This window comes from Homo sapiens, chromosome 11 (genome assembly GCF_000001405.40).
Source record: "Homo sapiens chromosome 11, GRCh38.p14 Primary Assembly".
NCBI classification, from domain to species: Eukaryota; Metazoa; Chordata; class Mammalia; order Primates; family Hominidae; genus Homo; species Homo sapiens.
Genome location: NC_000011.10, coordinates 60,840,328 through 60,855,976, shown reverse-complemented (window position 1 = coordinate 60,855,976; position 15,649 = coordinate 60,840,328). Strand labels below are relative to the sequence as shown.

Sequence of the window (15,649 nt, the reverse complement as noted above, 5' to 3'; positions counted from 1 at the left end):
TCTCTCAGCCTCCCTCTCCCACCTCTGTCTGCCCGCTGCCTCTTGTCTAGCTGCTGTCAGGAGCTGACTGCCTCCAGGGCTGGAATCCTGTGCTCCCTCTGTGCCCAGGTAAGGAGGAGTGGCCCAGGGGTTGGGCAGCCTAGTGCCCTCTCTAGACCCACAGAAGAAGGCAAAGTTTTACCAGGTGAGAGGGCTGTTACCAGCTAGGATGGCAGAAGATTGAGTTTACCAAAGACTGGAGGGGACTTGGTGCTCAGAGGAGGGAAGGATTAGCTTCTCTTAGGCATTAACTAGATGTCAGATACGAGGGGAAACCACTCAACTGTCTGTCAATATTCACAAGCAGTCTGGGTGGGAAGATGACACCAGCACGCTTAGAGTAACTGGCCCAAGGTCACGCAGCCAGGAAGCTGAGGAGCTGGGATTCAAACCCAGGTCTTGGACTCCCACAGCTTGCACTCTCTGTCCCTTTTTTTTTTTTTTTTTCTTAACCTGCCAAAGCCGGACCTTAGCTGCTTGGCTCCTGAGAATCCTGGGAGGCTGGGGGCTGTCTCTATAGAGTTAGAAGGACTGATCTGGTGGTGCCCAAGGGTGTGGCAGGACTGTGCTCTCTGATCATCCCCATAGGACTTGGATCAGCAGCAGCTGGTCTGCAGGGAATGTTTCAGGGCAGACAGCGGGTGGTACTTGGCTATCTGCTGGGAGTGAAGTCCCAGCCCCACTGTTGCAGCTGAGGAACGCTGGGCAAGTTGTTGTTTCTTCTTCTGAAAAATGGGGTGTCATAGGTTCATTGCAAGAGTAACTGCTCTGCACATTCTAAAGCCTAGGAAGTATGACCATTCTCAGGAAGCACAGGCTCCTCTTCCATCTACCTGCAGGTCTCTAGCTCCAAGGGGCTCCTCCGCCAGCAGAATTCTAGTTTGATATTCCAGAACCCCACTCTACAAAGGACTGTGGTCTCTGGAAGGGAGTGGGTTTTCTCATCCTGGCCAACAGTGTTTTCCCTAGAAAGATGAGTACTGAAGACCATTGCTCCCCTCTCCCGCTTTTCTTCCTCCTCCTCCATCCTCTCTTCCTTGGAGTAGGGGTAGAGGAAAGAGCACAGGCTGAGCATGAAACTTTCTCCTCCACATGTTTGTGCTGTCTGGGTGGCTCTGGGCCAGTTATTTAACCACTTGAGGCTCAGTTTTCTCATCTGTAAAATAGGATGGAGTACTAGCACCATTTTTCTAGAGCCAGAAAGACAGCACCTATGTGAAGGACCTACCATAGTACCTGGAGTGTCATTGGTGCCCAGGACACCCTGAGTCCCTGTCCCCTGCTACTTGCCTCCTACCTCCTGCATGGAGCCTCATGGAATTTCCTCAGCCCTCACTGGTCTTGACCAGCCTCACATCAGATGGTCTTTCGGGCTTTCAATGAGGATGTAAGCATGCACGTCTTATTTGTTGGATGAGTGCATGATGGAGTAAGTGAATGAACAGGGGTGGGTTTCCTGGGGCGGAGAGAGCTGCTGTGGCTGCTCCTGAGAAGGGAGAGATCTTTTGGCCCCACTGGGCCTCCAGAGCCCCATGTGGGAGTTCCTCCTCCCCAGCTCTCCTGGCTCTTATCTTATTTCCTCTCCAACCATCAGAGGAGGGGCTGGTTCCACTGTTTATGGTCGGCACATCTAACCAGCCACCACTGAGTGCGGGGAGCTGCATGGAGGATCTGTAGAGAGGCAACATCTGGGGGCGCTGTGGATGCTGTGGGAAGGGGCAGCATCTCCATCGCCCAGGCCAGCAGAATCCTCTTGCCCTAATTGTGGGGCCTCCTTCACCCGCCAGTGCTCTGGGGATGGGAAAAAGGAGTCCTGTGTGGCCTGACCTTGTTCCTTTTTCTCTGTGTGATCTTAGACCATTTGCTCCATAATCATCACAATGACACTGATAAAGTGCTTGCTCTGTGCCAGGCCATGTTCTAAATGCTTTTATGTATTAAACTCACTTAATTCTCCCAATAACTCTATGAGCTAGGTGATGTTATGACTGACATCCAAGTTTCAGAGGCAGAAAAAGGCTCGGGAAGGTTAAATGACTTGCCCAAGCACAGCAATGCTGGGATATTATTCCCCCCACCCCCACCGCCCAATATATTCGTGGGTCACATTGGCATCTCCTGGGCAGGGTCCCACTCCGGGCCTCTCTCTTGGTTCCCCGGTGGCCTCTGCACTTCCAACTTAGGCGCCTCCTTCCCTCCACTGCAGAGCCCCACGATGTCGGCCAACGCCACACTGAAGCCACTCTGCCCCATCCTGGAGCAGATGAGCCGTCTCCAGAGCCACAGCAACACCAGCATCCGCTACATCGACCACGCGGCCGTGCTGCTGCACGGGCTGGCCTCGCTGCTGGGCCTGGTGGAGAATGGAGTCATCCTCTTCGTGGTGGGCTGCCGCATGCGCCAGACCGTGGTCACCACCTGGGTGCTGCACCTGGCGCTGTCCGACCTGTTGGCCTCTGCTTCCCTGCCCTTCTTCACCTACTTCTTGGCCGTGGGCCACTCGTGGGAGCTGGGCACCACCTTCTGCAAACTGCACTCCTCCATCTTCTTTCTCAACATGTTCGCCAGCGGCTTCCTGCTCAGCGCCATCAGCCTGGACCGCTGCCTGCAGGTGGTGCGGCCGGTGTGGGCGCAGAACCACCGCACCGTGGCCGCGGCGCACAAAGTCTGCCTGGTGCTTTGGGCACTAGCGGTGCTCAACACGGTGCCCTATTTCGTGTTCCGGGACACCATCTCGCGGCTGGACGGGCGCATTATGTGCTACTACAATGTGCTGCTCCTGAACCCGGGGCCTGACCGCGATGCCACGTGCAACTCGCGGCAGGTGGCCCTGGCCGTCAGCAAGTTCCTGCTGGCCTTCCTGGTGCCGCTGGCGATCATCGCCTCGAGCCACGCGGCCGTGAGCCTGCGGTTGCAGCACCGCGGCCGCCGGCGGCCAGGCCGCTTCGTGCGCCTGGTGGCGGCCGTCGTGGCCGCCTTCGCGCTCTGCTGGGGGCCCTACCACGTGTTCAGCCTGCTGGAGGCGCGGGCGCACGCAAACCCGGGGCTGCGGCCGCTCGTGTGGCGCGGGCTGCCCTTCGTCACCAGCCTGGCCTTCTTCAACAGCGTGGCCAACCCGGTGCTCTACGTGCTCACCTGCCCCGACATGCTGCGCAAGCTGCGGCGCTCGCTGCGCACGGTGCTGGAGAGCGTGCTGGTGGACGACAGCGAGCTGGGTGGCGCGGGAAGCAGCCGCCGCCGCCGCACCTCCTCCACCGCCCGCTCGGCCTCCCCTTTAGCTCTCTGCAGCCGCCCGGAGGAACCGCGGGGCCCCGCGCGTCTCCTCGGCTGGCTGCTGGGCAGCTGCGCAGCGTCCCCGCAGACGGGCCCCCTGAACCGGGCGCTGAGCAGCACCTCGAGTTAGAACCCGGCCCACGTAGGGCGGCACTCACACGCGAAAGTATCACCAGGGTGCCGCGGTTCAATTCGATATCCGGACTCCTGCCGCAGTGATCAAAGTCCGAGGGGCGGGACCCAGGCACCTGCATTTTAAAGCGCCCCGGGAGACTCTGAATCTTTTTCAGAAACAGTGAGTTAAAGCAGTGCTTCTCAAACCTTGATGTGCCTGTGAATCACCTAGGGGTCTTGTTAAGTGCAGTCTGATCCAGGAGGCCGGGGCCGGGTACTGAGAGTCTGCACTTAACAAGCTCCCAGGCCGAGAAGCCAGTGCGGCAGGTTCACAGGCGAGGCCTGGAGTAACACAAAGTGAAACTCATAATAGACTTCCCACTCTAGGGCAGTGGAGTCGGAAGGGCACACGGGGTGCGTCTCCCCGGAGTTCAGTTTTACCAGATGATGGGGGAGGGGGGAAGGAGTTTTATGTTAAACCATCCATGTATTTTTGGAGAAGAGAGAGGAAAGGTTTGAGAAGCACTGTTCCAGCCTGCCCTCTTCATTTAGCCAATGCTTACTGCGCTAGACGCTTCATCCCACAATCTTAAGGGGCAGCTTCTATTAGCCAGTCTTTACAGCTGAGCACATTCTGGCTCAGGGAGGTTAAGTGACTTGCCCAGTTTCAGGGCTAACGACCACAGGGTCTGCACTCTAACCCTAGGCATCACATGCTCAATGACTCTCTGGTGAGCGAGGACATTCTCTGACCTACTCGAGGGACTTAAGATGCTACCTTGTGACCCAGCACTGCCCAAAGTGCTTCCAAGGCAGAAGCAGCAGGGGATGGCGTGGTCAAGCACTCGGGAAACCTGGGGCTAATCAAATCCAATGGGGGAAATGACTAAAAGTCTTCGGTCGTTAGAAGTTGAATGGGCACAGCAACTCTAAGACTACAGCACACGTCATTTCTTAGCTAAGCGGACCAGCCTCCCTGTCGGCCTGGTGTTCTGTGGGATCCCTCTGGGCACTGGTAATCCCAAGATCTGTGCAGCCCCGCCTCCAGGCCACATGGGGCTGGGCAGCTACCATTTCCCTTTTGCGGATGGGAGGGGTAACTTGCACCTCTGACCTATCACTTCCACTGCACCCCGTCTCATTCCTCCACCTGCCGTGGACTTGGGGTCAGAGACTGCTGTGTTTGAGCTCTGCAGCCCAGGGACCGAAAAGTTGGTGTCAATGAATTTTGCTTGGTGGATGAAATGTCAGTGGAAGAAGCAGATGAGAAACTCTTGAGATCTTGGTCCTGTGTTTTTTCTGCCACCAAAGGCCAGGGTCACTGAAGGCCTGGCCCACAGCAGGTGCTGAGCAAAGGGAACAGTGAGGTGCCCAGCTAGCTGCAGAGCCACCCTGTGTTGACACCTCGCCCCTGCTCCCTCCCATCCCTTCCCCCTTTACTCATAGCACTTCCCCCATTGGACACGTGGTGCATTTTGCTTGTTTATTATGTTTTCTCTCCATCAGAATGAAAGCTCCTCGAGGGCAGGGACTTTGGTCTATTGTCTGTATTTGCCGGTGCCTAGGATTGTGCCTGTATGCAACAGGCACTCAATAAATATTTTTGCTGTAGACTGGACAGGCATGAGTTAGATTCTCTGGGGCTTCTGCAGAGACTGGTTTGGGAAAGTGGGTGCTAGGGAAAAGCTCTGCTCCCTGCAACCTCCCCATTTTAATCTTTCAGTATTGAAAAGTGGAGAGGAACCGGATTCAGTCTGCTGGGGACAGAGGCAGTGGGGTGTGGAGGTGCTCAGAGCAGCCTTTGGGAAGGTGTGGGGGAAGCTGGATTCCCAACTGTCAGCCTCCAGGCCTGGGATGGACCTAGGATGCTGAGAAAGGGCATACACTGCTGAGGGAGTCACCTGCCAGTCACCAGCTCACTGAGGAACCAGAAGAATGTACAGTTCTTGGTTTGAAGGCACTTGGAGAAGGAGAGGAAGGAGGGATGGGAGCTGAATCTCTTCCCGCCCCCATCTCTGCCAGGTCCCAGGCCCCCTCTGGGCTTCTGTCCCACACAGACCTGCCTGGAAGCCTTCAAAGGCCGAGGAGCCCCGGTCGGGGTGGGGGTCCCTGTTCTGGAGCCATGGGTTTGGAGTGCCAGCTCCAGCAGAGGCATCTGAGCAGCGGCCTGAGGTGCTGTGTCTGACATGGTTGTTGGCCATGGAAGGCCTCGGGCCGTCCTGAGCTCAGATCTTGGCTGCCGGCTGCTGGGGCGGCTGCTTCTGCAGCAGGGCCAGGGTGTCCCGCTTCTCAATGGAGCGCAGCTGCTTCTTCTTTGCCCGCTTGAGCTTGGCGGGGTTTCGGATCTGGGGGTGGTATGAGGGGAGGACATTAGTGCAGCTGCAGCCTCGGTCCAAATTCCCAGGGGAGAGGAAGGCCGCCCCACAGGGGCCTGAGATCGTAGCATGAGAGTGGGGGTACATGAGGCAGGGGTCGAGGCCCTGGTTTGCACCCCCAAGTGGGGCAGAAGGGCAGAGGGGGAAAACGAGACACTCACCACTTGGACGACCTCTGCCTTCCGCTCATTCTCCAGGCGGCGTTTCAGGTTCTCAGCCCGGCGCTGTTTCTTCTCCTGGAACATGTGGGAGAAGGGGATTTGAGTCGGGGAGCAGAGGCAGCCCTGGTCTCTCAGGCCCCAGAAGAGTGCGAGCGGGCAGAATTCCCAGGAGGAAGGGGAAAGGCCCTCTCTGCCAGGCTCCAGGTTGGTGATGTGTGGGTGGAGGGCTAGCAATCCTGTGCCACGGTCTAGTGCCAGGGGCCTGCTGTGGTGGAAGCTCCTGATAGCATGTTGAGAGGTGGGTATGGGACAGGCAACTGAGGACAGGGGCTGAGACACTGGGGGTGCCCACCTGGAGATTCACGCACATGCAGACAGTGACCCCTCATGCCACCCTCATCAACTGCCAAGGGAGAAAGGGGTGCTGGCCCTTCCCCCATTCCCACCCTCTCCGACAGTCTCCCCCTCTTCCCCTGGAGTCCTGCTGCTGCAGAATGCCAGGCTAGGGGTGAGGGCTGGGTCCCTGAGATTTTCACAGGTGTGGGGCTGGGCAGGGGCTGCACTGCACAGAAAAGGCTCTGGAGCTATCTGGGCTGGGTTTCAATCTGGATCCTGTTATTTCCTAAACAGGAGACCTTAGCTAAGTCTGTGCCTCAGCTTCTTCATCTTTAAAGTGACAGTGACCACAGTATCTACCTCGTAAGATAGTTTTGGGAAATCAATGAGGGAATGCACGTGCAGGACTTGGAGCAGCCCCTAGCTCCTTGGGCACACTGAGACTCTAGATGGAGTCTGTCTTGGGAGGGGAAGCCCAGTGCTCTCTAGCCATGCTGACTGTGTCCCTCAGCAAGGCCAGGGTGGGGACGTCAGCTCCAAGGCTGCTGCATGGTTAGGAGTCTCTGCTGGCTTTGGTGACTTGGGGTAGCAGGGGTGGCCCAGGCCCCTGGGGAGGAAGGAGAAGTGAGCCTTGGCCTCCTGTGGTCAGGGCAGGCCCGGGCTGGGGGCTGGGCAGGAGCACCTCCGCAGTGGACGGTGAGAAGTGAGACGGCAGCTCTGTCTTGCCCAAGAGGGAGCCAGGGCCACACAGGAAAAGAGATAAGGCCTCAGCATATGGTGGCGGACACACTGTTCCTCAGATGTCAGCTGTAAGCTGAGCTGGGGTGACTTAGAGCAGGGGACAGATGACTGAGTGACTGGCCCACCCCTTTTCTCAGTGGCCAGCCTGGGACCACGGACTATGGATGAGTTGTCTGAATCCCGTTCGGCACTCCTCCTACACGCCTGGGTCATTAGAGGAGTGGAGGAGGAATCTCCCACTGACTGCCCTGCCCTGGGGGGCAGGAGCTGACCAATGCCACTCCGCTTTCTCTGCATGCTGCCTGCTGAGTGCCCTCTTCCCCCCGCTTAAAAGTCCCTGGCAGATGTGGGTGAGGCTGTGACCCTTTACAGGGGCTTCCTGGCTCTGGGATGGGTGACAGGGGACAGAAGTGGAGGAAAGGTGCGGGGGCCATCCACGTTGCTGGTGTGTGGGCTGCTTCTTGGAGAATGACAGCAGCCATACCGGGGACATGGAGTTCAAATCTGCAAGCCCTTCCCAACTGAGTACGTCCCAGCAAAGGGCCCTCGACCCCATCTCACTGACTGCCCTACCACCCAGGACTTCCTCCCGGGCTTCTCCCCAAGGCCCGCTTCTGGTCCTCCCCCTCCGTCCCTGTCCCTGAGGCTCTTTCAGCAGCCCAGGCTAAACTGTATGGTCCCCTGGGCCTCCCTGCCCTGTAGTCCCAGATTGCACTTCTGCTTCTGGCCAGGTGCCCTTCCTCCCTCCGGCCTTCAGATTCAAGAACGTTTTTTAACCAAGTCGGCCTCCCCCAGGCACCCGTGGAGGCCCTCGCCTCAGGTCTGTACCAGTAGACACTAGCTTAGTCCTCTGAGCCCCAGCCTCAGCCTGGCTGGCCCCTCACCTGGCGGCGCCTCTCCTTCTCCTCCTCCAGGTGACGGGCAAAGTCCTTGGCCAGCTTCCTCTCCTGTCGTTCCTTCATCTTCCGCTGCCACGATGTGCGCAGGGGCTTGTCCTGAAGCATCTGGGAGAATCTGAAAGGGGGAGAGTGGGTGCATACAGGGTCTGTGGGGCAAGCGCCACCCATGCCCTGTCTCCTCTCGGCCGGAGGCTCTGGACCTTCTTCCCCAGAGCCCAGGCAGAACCACCTCCTTGCTGGCCTGACAGGCGGCCTTCCAGGGCTGCAGAAACTTGGGGCGGGAGGGAACCCTGATCGTGCTGGCTGCCATTTCTCAAGCCTTGGCTACATGCCTCTGAGGTGGGTACTCCTATCCTCTCCACTTACAGAGGAGCAGGCCAAGGCGCGGAGAGGTTAAATAGCTGCCTAAAGATACCTTGTGGCAGTCAGGACTTGAATCCTGTCAGCGACTGCAGAGTCCAGGCTACGCGGCCCCTGCTGTAAAGTTCTGTTGCTTCCGCCAAGTGCATTTGGCCCGGGTGTGAATGCCTCTGGAGGCGGGGCGCTCACCCCCTAGGGAGGTGGCCCATTCCATTTCAGAACAGTGTGAGTGGTTAAAGTTCTGGGTAATGATTCAGGATCTTCCCCGCCAAGACCGGATGCAGTGGTCATGCTTGTAATCCCAGCACTTTGGGAGGCCAAGGTGGGCAGACCACGTGAGTCCAGGAGTTGGAGACCAGCCGGGCAAACATGGCAAAACCTACTAAGCCTACTAAAACCTACTAAAGTTTCTACTAAAAATACAAAAATTAGCTGGGTGTGATGGTGTATGCCTATAGTCCCAGCTACTTGGGAGGCTGAGGTACAACAATTGCTTGAACCTGGGAGGTGGAGGTTGCAGTGAGCCGAGATCGCGCCACTGCACTCCAGCCTGGGTGACAGAGCAAGACTCTGTCTCAAAAAAAAAAAAGAAAAAAGAAAAAAGAAAAAGAATCTCTTCCCCCAGTTGGAGATGAAGTGGGCATCAGGGCTCTCAGGGAAATCTGAAAAGAGCAACGATGATTTTAGAGTTACAGGAGAACTGAGCTCATCTCTGTAAAAATGCATACTACAAGGATTTATGAATGGGATGATATGTCTAGGATGTACTTTAAAATATTTCAGGGAAAAAAAAATGCCAAAGATCAGCCGGGCGCAGTGGCTCACGCCTGTAATCCCAGCACTTTGGGAGGCTGAGGTGGGCCGATCACCTAAGGTCGGGAGTTCGAGACCAGCTTGACCAACATGGAGAAACCCTGTCTCTACTAAAAATACAAAATTAGCTGGGTGTGGTGGCACACACCTGTAATCCCAGCTACTTGGGAGGCTGAGGCAGGAGAATCGCTTGAACCCAGGAGGCGGAGGTTGCGGTGAGCCGAGATTGCTCCATTGCACTCTGGCCTGGGCAACAAGAATGAAACTCCGTCTCAAAACAAAAAAAAAGAAAAAAAGAAAAAAAAGCCAAGTATCAAAGATGAAGCTACACTAGTAAAATGCTGAGCTGTGTTGATGCTGATAATGGGGACTTGAGAGCTTTGCTCTTTCTTTGTATGCTTGAAAATTTCCATTCAAAAAAAGTAAAAACAAAATGCAAAGAAGTCTCTCGGTGGCCTCCACATGCTGAAATTAGGTCTTTCTCTTTTAAAGATTCAAGGCCCATTTTGGTGTCCCTTGGCCCTGCCGACTTCTGGCCCCAGCTCCCTGATTTCCTTCTCCCCTTCCCAAGGCCTTGCCACTGAAGGCCTGGCCTCCTAAGCACTAAGAATGGGGTGCCACATGGACTTCCCCCATAACTGTAAAGCTGGGCTTCCCAAGCTGGGGTACGAGAACCCTGAAGGGACAAGGTGTTGGGAGCCTAGAGACACACAGAACCACAAGACACAGTGCTGCATCTGTGTAGAGCAGGGCTGTCAAACAGAACGTTCTGTGATGGTGGAAACATTCCACATTGACACTGTCCAATAAGGTAGCCACTAGTCATGGGTGGCTGCTGAGCGCTAGAAATGTGGTTGGTGTTGATAGAGAAACTGAATCTTAAATTTTATTTAATTTTAATTAATTTAAATGTACATAGCCACATGTGGCTGGCGGCTAAGGTACTGAGGCAGGGCAGTTCCAGACCATTGGTTCTACCTGGGTATTGAGGAAACTCAGGCCTGGGTTCCAAGTCCAACCTGGGTGACCTGGAGCAAGGTAGCCTCTCTAAGTCTCAGCATCCTGTCCAGTGGAGATGAGAATCATTCCTAACCCAAAGGGTGGTGGGAGATTTAATCGACACACACACGTAATAGGTGCTCCATAAATGCTACTCCTCAGAGAAGGCAGACAGCATGCCCAAGGGCACTATGGAGAAAGTGGCGTTTGGCATGAGCACGAAGACAGGGCTGCAGCCAGGTCTCCCTCACCACATACACTTTCCCAGCTGCGGCTGTCTTCCTCCCTGCAGCAGGAGCTGCTTCCCACCCATCTCCAGGCTCACTTACTACCCACCGAAGCTGCTCCCTCAAAGATCCCAAACATCCATTCAGTGGCCCTGCTGGGCCCCTCGCCACAGACTTGCCTGCAGCTTCGGAAGCTGTTTTAGTTCTCTTGAGACAGCCTCCTTGTGGGTTTTCCTGCCTTCACCCCTGCCCGCCTATGTCTGTGTTCAGTAGCCAGGCTGATCTCACAAGTCAGGTCATTTCATTCCTTTGCTTGACACCCTTCCATGGCTCCCAAGCTCACTCAGGAAAGCCGGGAGTCCCTGTAAGGGTCACCAGGTCCTGCTGTCTCTCTGACCTCATCTCCTACTGTTCCCCTTCTCCCCCTCATTCCAGCAGCGAGACCTCTGGAAAGCCTCTCAAACGGGAGCTTGCTCCCGCCTCAATACCTCTGAACATCCCTTTCCTGTTGCCTGGATACTGTTTCCCCAGATCTCTGCCCGGCTCCCTCTGCTCAGACCTGTTTATCTGCAAGGCCATCTCTGAGCACTGTGGCAATACCCTGCCCTCCCTGTTATTCTCTGGTCCCCATCCTGGTTTATTTTTCTTTGAAGTCTTTATTACTGACATATCATGTGTGTACTTGTTCTTTATCTGTTTCCCACATTTAGAATGTTTGCTTCAGGAGAGCAGAGACTTTTTGTTCACAGACATGTTTACCCAAGATCTGAGCAACTGGTTGATGAATGAATGAACTACCTTCTGTCCTCAATTCATCCACTTGTTCAGCTTAGTGCCCTACCCTGCACTGGGCTCTGGGGCATCTAGTCATGATAGGTAAGTCCCCACTCTTACACTCTCACGGAGCCTCCGGTTTAAAGGAAAACAGGCAGTCAATAAGAATCACAAATAAATAAGCATTTGTGCAAATGGAGGTGTTACAAAAGAGAAGTACAGCACACAATGATAACATAAAGCATGGGGACTTAACCCTAGTTGGATAAGCCAGAGAGGCTTTTCAGAGGAGGTGACATTTGAACTGAGCCCTGAAACATGAGTGGGGGACTGGCCAGGGAAAGAGCCTTTCAAACAGTGGGAACAGCACGTGTGAAGGCGCTGAGGAAGGAGGGAGCGTCACACATGGGAGGAACATGGAGGGGACAACAGTGTGGAAGCTCTAGTGATGGAGGGGAGAGGAGGGTGGGCCTGCCGGCCTCATTAAGGAGTCTGGAGTGCATGCTCTGAGTGAGCAACAGTGAGTCAGGACGGGTCTGCAGTTGGGCAGGGAGCTGGAACCACACACCCTCTCTCCAGACTTCTTGGTCAAGTGATCTGTGGCCTCCTACTCTGCTCCAGCTGCTGATCCTGTGTCTTGTGTGGGCCCCTCCCTTCTCCCCACCTCTGCATGGGCCCAGCCCCCTCTAGCTCAGCAAGCCCATCTCCCCACCTGCAGCGTGAGTACCAGGACCCCAAGCTTCACCCGCTCAACTTGCTCATCACCCTCTTCCCACCTGAACCAGCCTCCTCCAGTTCCACATGGCCATCAACGGCCCTGCCATTCTCCTGTGACCCCCTGGGACAGGGCAGAGGGGTAGTGCCATCATCCACTTCTCCAACAGTTACAGTCACTCTAGCCTCAAAGTCTCTCCCATGGGAGACTTGCAGTAAATTACTCTGTAAGCCTCAGTTTCTTCTGTTTCATCAGGGGTGGGGGGATAATATCCACAGCCTAGGGTTTTAAGGATACAAGAAAAGGGCCTAGCACGAAGCCTGGCACAGAGTCAGCTTCTTCCTTAAAAACACCCTCCTTCCTCATGGTCCCTCACAGGCATACATCCCTGACTCTCCCCTGTGGTTCCCATTAGCTCGAATTGGAACTGAATCCCACACCTCTCCTTCATGGCAGCCTACACTCTTCCTTCTTCAGATGAGCTACTTCGTTCCTTCATTAAATAAGCATTCATTGGGCATTTACTATGCCCTTGGCACAGAAAGACAAGAAAGATCTCGTGCCTGCCCCTTAAGAAGGTCGCAATCCAATTCAAGGTGGATCTACAGGGATTGGGTAAAGGGGTTTTTTGCACACAGGCTTCGGAATCAGATCTGTGCTCAGGTCCTGTGCCTACCACTCATTTAGCCTTGGTTTCCTCACACAAAAAACAGGAATAATAACACCGCCTGCTTCACAGGGCTGACGTGCAGATTAAGCGTGATGACACATGCTGTTCCATGTTTGAAAGGCTGTTGACTGGTAAATCCTTATTAAGGCTGTTGACTGGTAAATCCTTATATAATCAGTGCTCAGTAATACTTTTTATCTTAAAGGCAAATAACTGTAATAGACTATATTGGATGAAGACCTCACTGCTTTGATCAAGTAATGGCTGGTTTACTTGCTTCTGCTTCTCTCACTAGAGAGGGCAGACAACGGTAAATGTCTGTTGAACGAATACAGACCTGAGGTGCTACAGGAGAGGCCCATAGGGACCCTGAGGAGGAAAGGCATCAGAGAAATTGATCTTTGAGGGCCTGGCCCCACCCTCTCCGGGATCCCAGGGCATTTTACCACATTCTGATTGTAATTACCTGTTTGCTAACATCCCCACTAACGTGAGCTCTCTCTAACCCTGGGGCTATTCTCCAGGCTGCAGCAGGGCAAAGGCGGGGTCCCAACACCATAGAGAACGCCACCCCTGTCCATGCTGTCCCCCACTTCACCTTTTCTTGGAGCGGTCCTTCCACACTCGCCCCGATTTGGGCTTCCCCTTCGGGATTACAGGAAGCTCCTCTTTATTCAACTTCTTGGACGCTGGGGCCTGGGATGAAGAACCTTTTCGCTTCTTTGCCCCGAAGCCGCCTGTCACCGTCTCCCCAGCTGGAGGTGGCTTGCTCGGCTCATGCTGACCCCGGGGGGAGCCAGGTGCCCTGGGTGTCAGCTCCAGTAGTGGCTGAGAGGGCTCCGGACCGGGAGCTTGCTGACCGGGGTAAGGCTCTGGTGATCCTGGGACCGGCGGTAGCTGATGCTGGGGGGCCCCCGGGGTCAGCTCCTCCTTATTCTGGGCCAACTCCGAGGCCAGTACTCCCTGGTCCTGAGAACACTTTGGTGCCTCCTCACTTGGCTTCGGCTGACATCGTGGGGATTCAGGACTGTACTCTGGCTGTCTTTGAGGCGACTCCAGGTGTAGGTCTTGCTGACGCTGGGGGGACGCTGCGCCTGGCTCTGGCTGCCCTTGGGGTGACTCCAAGCCTGCACCCTGCTGCAGACGGGGTGATCCTGGGCTTGTCTTCGGCGGCCTTTCGGGGGACCCCAGGCCAGCCCGCTGCACACTCGGAGGAGACCCGGGCTCCCTCGTTTCTTCTGGGTTCGACTCGAACTCCACAAGGGCCCGTCTCGTCCGCGAAACTGAGGTGAGGCTCTCGGGGGATTCGGGCCTTAGGCCTCCCAGCCGTCGGCTGCGCCTTAACGGTGTATCCATGGCTCAGCCGGTAAGTTTCCACACCCCTGCGCACGTGCAGCCCCCGCCGAAACCGGCGCCTTCCTATGACGTCAGGAGTCGCCGCGTCCGTGACGCACAGGAGGGGGGCTGTTGCTGAGGCGGCCATGTTGGTGAGGGGTGGAGAGGCGGGACCGGGGTTGGGGAGAGTGGGGCTCAGCATGCGCATGCGCAATTCGCGCGAGCGCAGTCAACATGTGATTGATGAGCCAGTCTTTTTCCTGGGATTCGCTTTTGCCTTTCTTGCAAAGTTTCCTGGGGAAAGAAGAGCGAGCAAGTAGAAAAGGGAAAGTGGGAGGACCCATTTCAGGGAGAGAACAGAGTCGAAAAAAGGTCCGAGGAGCCCATAGGCAAGGCCCAGTGGATGTTTTGCAGCCAACTCCGGTGCAGTTGGGCAGAGTCCTGCCCTCCTTGGGCCTGTTTTCTCATTTGTAATAGGGGTCATTTTGCACTAGCTTCGTGCATCCCAAATGATCCTGTCAGAGTCCTCCTCCCACCTACCTGAGGGACTGCTACCTGGGGGTCCTGGAGGTGGAAGATCGGTCTTTTCTGTGTTAATTGTTCACACTCTTGATTCTTCCGTCCTGTGCTTCCGTATATAATCCATAGCTCTCCCTCCCTTTTCAGCGTTTTCAACGTTTGTGAGGGAAGTTGAGGTACCAATAAGATGCACCACCTTTGTCCTGTGGCTCACCTGGGCCCTCGACCAGCTGCATATCCTCCCACGTCCCTCTTCTTCTACCCCAGTTCTAGAAACGGGTTGGATCATCTCCGATCTTCCTTTCAGCCCAGACAGTGGTTTTTGCTCGTGTGTGAACCTGCTTCGCCTCCCCTCCCTTCCCTTGCTATTCACCTGTAAATGTACTTTGCTTACTAAGCACTTTGGGACCTCACCAGTGAGCAGGTGTTGACTTCTGGACCTCCCAAGGCCTAGAGAAGACTCTCGGGATGTGGGGTTGGGGAATGTGGGGCTGTGGAGACTTTCGTGTGAGACCTAGGAGTGGGGCTTTGATTTACTTACAGCATGCTTCTTAGGAAGAACATCTTGGAAGTGGCCCAGTTGTGTAATTCTTGGAACTGCCTGGGGTTGGCCATTAAAGGTCCCAGGGCCCCGTCTGACATTCCAGTGGTTTCTTTTAGAAACCATTGTTTCTCCAGCTGCGGGCTTGTGAGAGGGCCTGGGAAATTGTCCAAGAATATCAGGGATCAGAGTGTCCTCATCTTCCTCATGTTCCTGAGTCAAGGAGACCCCTGCAGGGGGGCTTTGCCTGCCTCACTGCTCCTCTCCGGCCATGCAGCTGTCCACAGCAGAAGCAGCCGGGACACCTCCTTGCCCAGCTCTTCCACCCCCCAACTGTCAGAGGAGTGAGTTCCATTCAGTTCCTTAAATGCCCTGCCCCTGCCTGGAGACCCCAATGATCTGACACTCAGAACCAAGCCCGGCAGGTGTTGCCAGAGTGCTGGAGGAGACTGTATGCCCCTCTGCCCTGCTCCAGTCCCCCTTGGCTTGCCCTGCCTCCTAAGCTCTTGTCCCCAGCTGGAGGGATCACTCTCCAGTGCCGATTGGATCATATCCTAGTCTAGCCTGAAATACTTCAGAGGGTGATCTCAGGTTTTCACCAGAGAGAGGGAGATGTGTTTTAGAGGAGGCCTTTGGGTGGCCCCCAGACATTTGGAGGCACTTTGTCAACCTCAGCATCAGATGGGCTCTGGCCCAGAACCCCCTACTCCCACATGAGCTCAGTTTGTCATTGTCATTATACATGGTGTGCAGAGGCC

The 15,649-nt window shown here is 55.4% G+C and overlaps 2 protein-coding genes and 1 long non-coding RNA gene across 3 annotated transcripts, besides 3 other annotated features; 2 read left to right on the top strand and 1 right to left on the bottom strand.

The window, feature by feature from the left end:
* On the top strand, window positions 27–5,044 carry PTGDR2 (prostaglandin D2 receptor 2). The gene is made up of 2 exons (NM_004778.3): window positions 27–108; window positions 2,246–5,044. The coding sequence occupies exon 2, from the start codon at window positions 2,255–2,257 to the stop codon at window positions 3,440–3,442; it is 1,188 nt and encodes a 395-aa protein (NP_004769.2). The 5' UTR covers window positions 27–108; window positions 2,246–2,254; the 3' UTR covers window positions 3,443–5,044.
* On the bottom strand, window positions 4,896–13,864 carry CCDC86 (coiled-coil domain containing 86). Its single transcript, NM_024098.4, has 4 exons — window positions 13,095–13,864; window positions 7,924–8,053; window positions 5,963–6,037; window positions 4,896–5,771 (listed from the first exon to the last, which is right to left on the bottom strand). Exons 1-4 carry the CDS (start codon window positions 13,850–13,852, stop codon window positions 5,652–5,654), a joined length of 1,083 nt encoding a protein of 360 aa, NP_077003.1. The 5' UTR covers window positions 13,853–13,864; the 3' UTR covers window positions 4,896–5,651.
* CCDC86-AS1 (CCDC86 antisense RNA 1) lies at window positions 4,896–14,171 on the top strand. Its single transcript, NR_182293.1, has 2 exons — window positions 4,896–5,211; window positions 13,997–14,171. It is a non-coding gene; the product is annotated as a CCDC86 antisense RNA 1 (long non-coding RNA).
* Window positions 13,439–13,668: an enhancer, noted in NCBI's record as "active region_4780". NCBI's record gives its function as "activates an Ori minimal core promoter by ATAC-STARR-seq in GM12878 lymphoblastoid cells {active_cell/tissue: GM12878}" and the evidence as "EXISTENCE:reporter gene assay evidence [ECO:0000049][PMID:35858748]".
* Window positions 13,439–14,774: a biological region, named in NCBI's record as "MED14-independent group 3 enhancer GRCh37_chr11:60608676-60609875".
* Window positions 13,575–14,774: an enhancer, noted in NCBI's record as "MED14-independent group 3 enhancer chr11:60608676-60609875 (GRCh37/hg19 assembly coordinates)". NCBI's record gives its function as "activates an origin of replication core promoter dependent on BRD2, BRD4, P300/CBP and CDK7 cofactors, and independent of MED14, by STARR-seq in HCT116 cells {active_cell/tissue: HCT116}" and the evidence as "EXISTENCE:reporter gene assay evidence [ECO:0000049][PMID:35650434]".

Coding starts and splice junctions, on each gene's coding strand:
- PTGDR2 (NM_004778.3), top strand. CDS start 2,255: ATGTCGGCCAACGCCACACTGAAGCCACTCTGCCCCATCCTGGAGCAG.
- CCDC86 (NM_024098.4), bottom strand. CDS start 13,852: ATGGATACACCGTTAAGGCGCAGCCGACGGCTGGGAGGCCTAAGGCCC. Junction 6,038..7,923: donor AGAAGGAGAGGCGCCGCCAG/GTGAGGGGCCAG, acceptor CACATGTTCCAG/GAGAAGAAACAGCGCCGGGC. Junction 5,772..5,962: donor AGGCAGAGGTCGTCCAAGTG/GTGAGTGTCTCG, acceptor TACCACCCCCAG/ATCCGAAACCCCGCCAAGCT.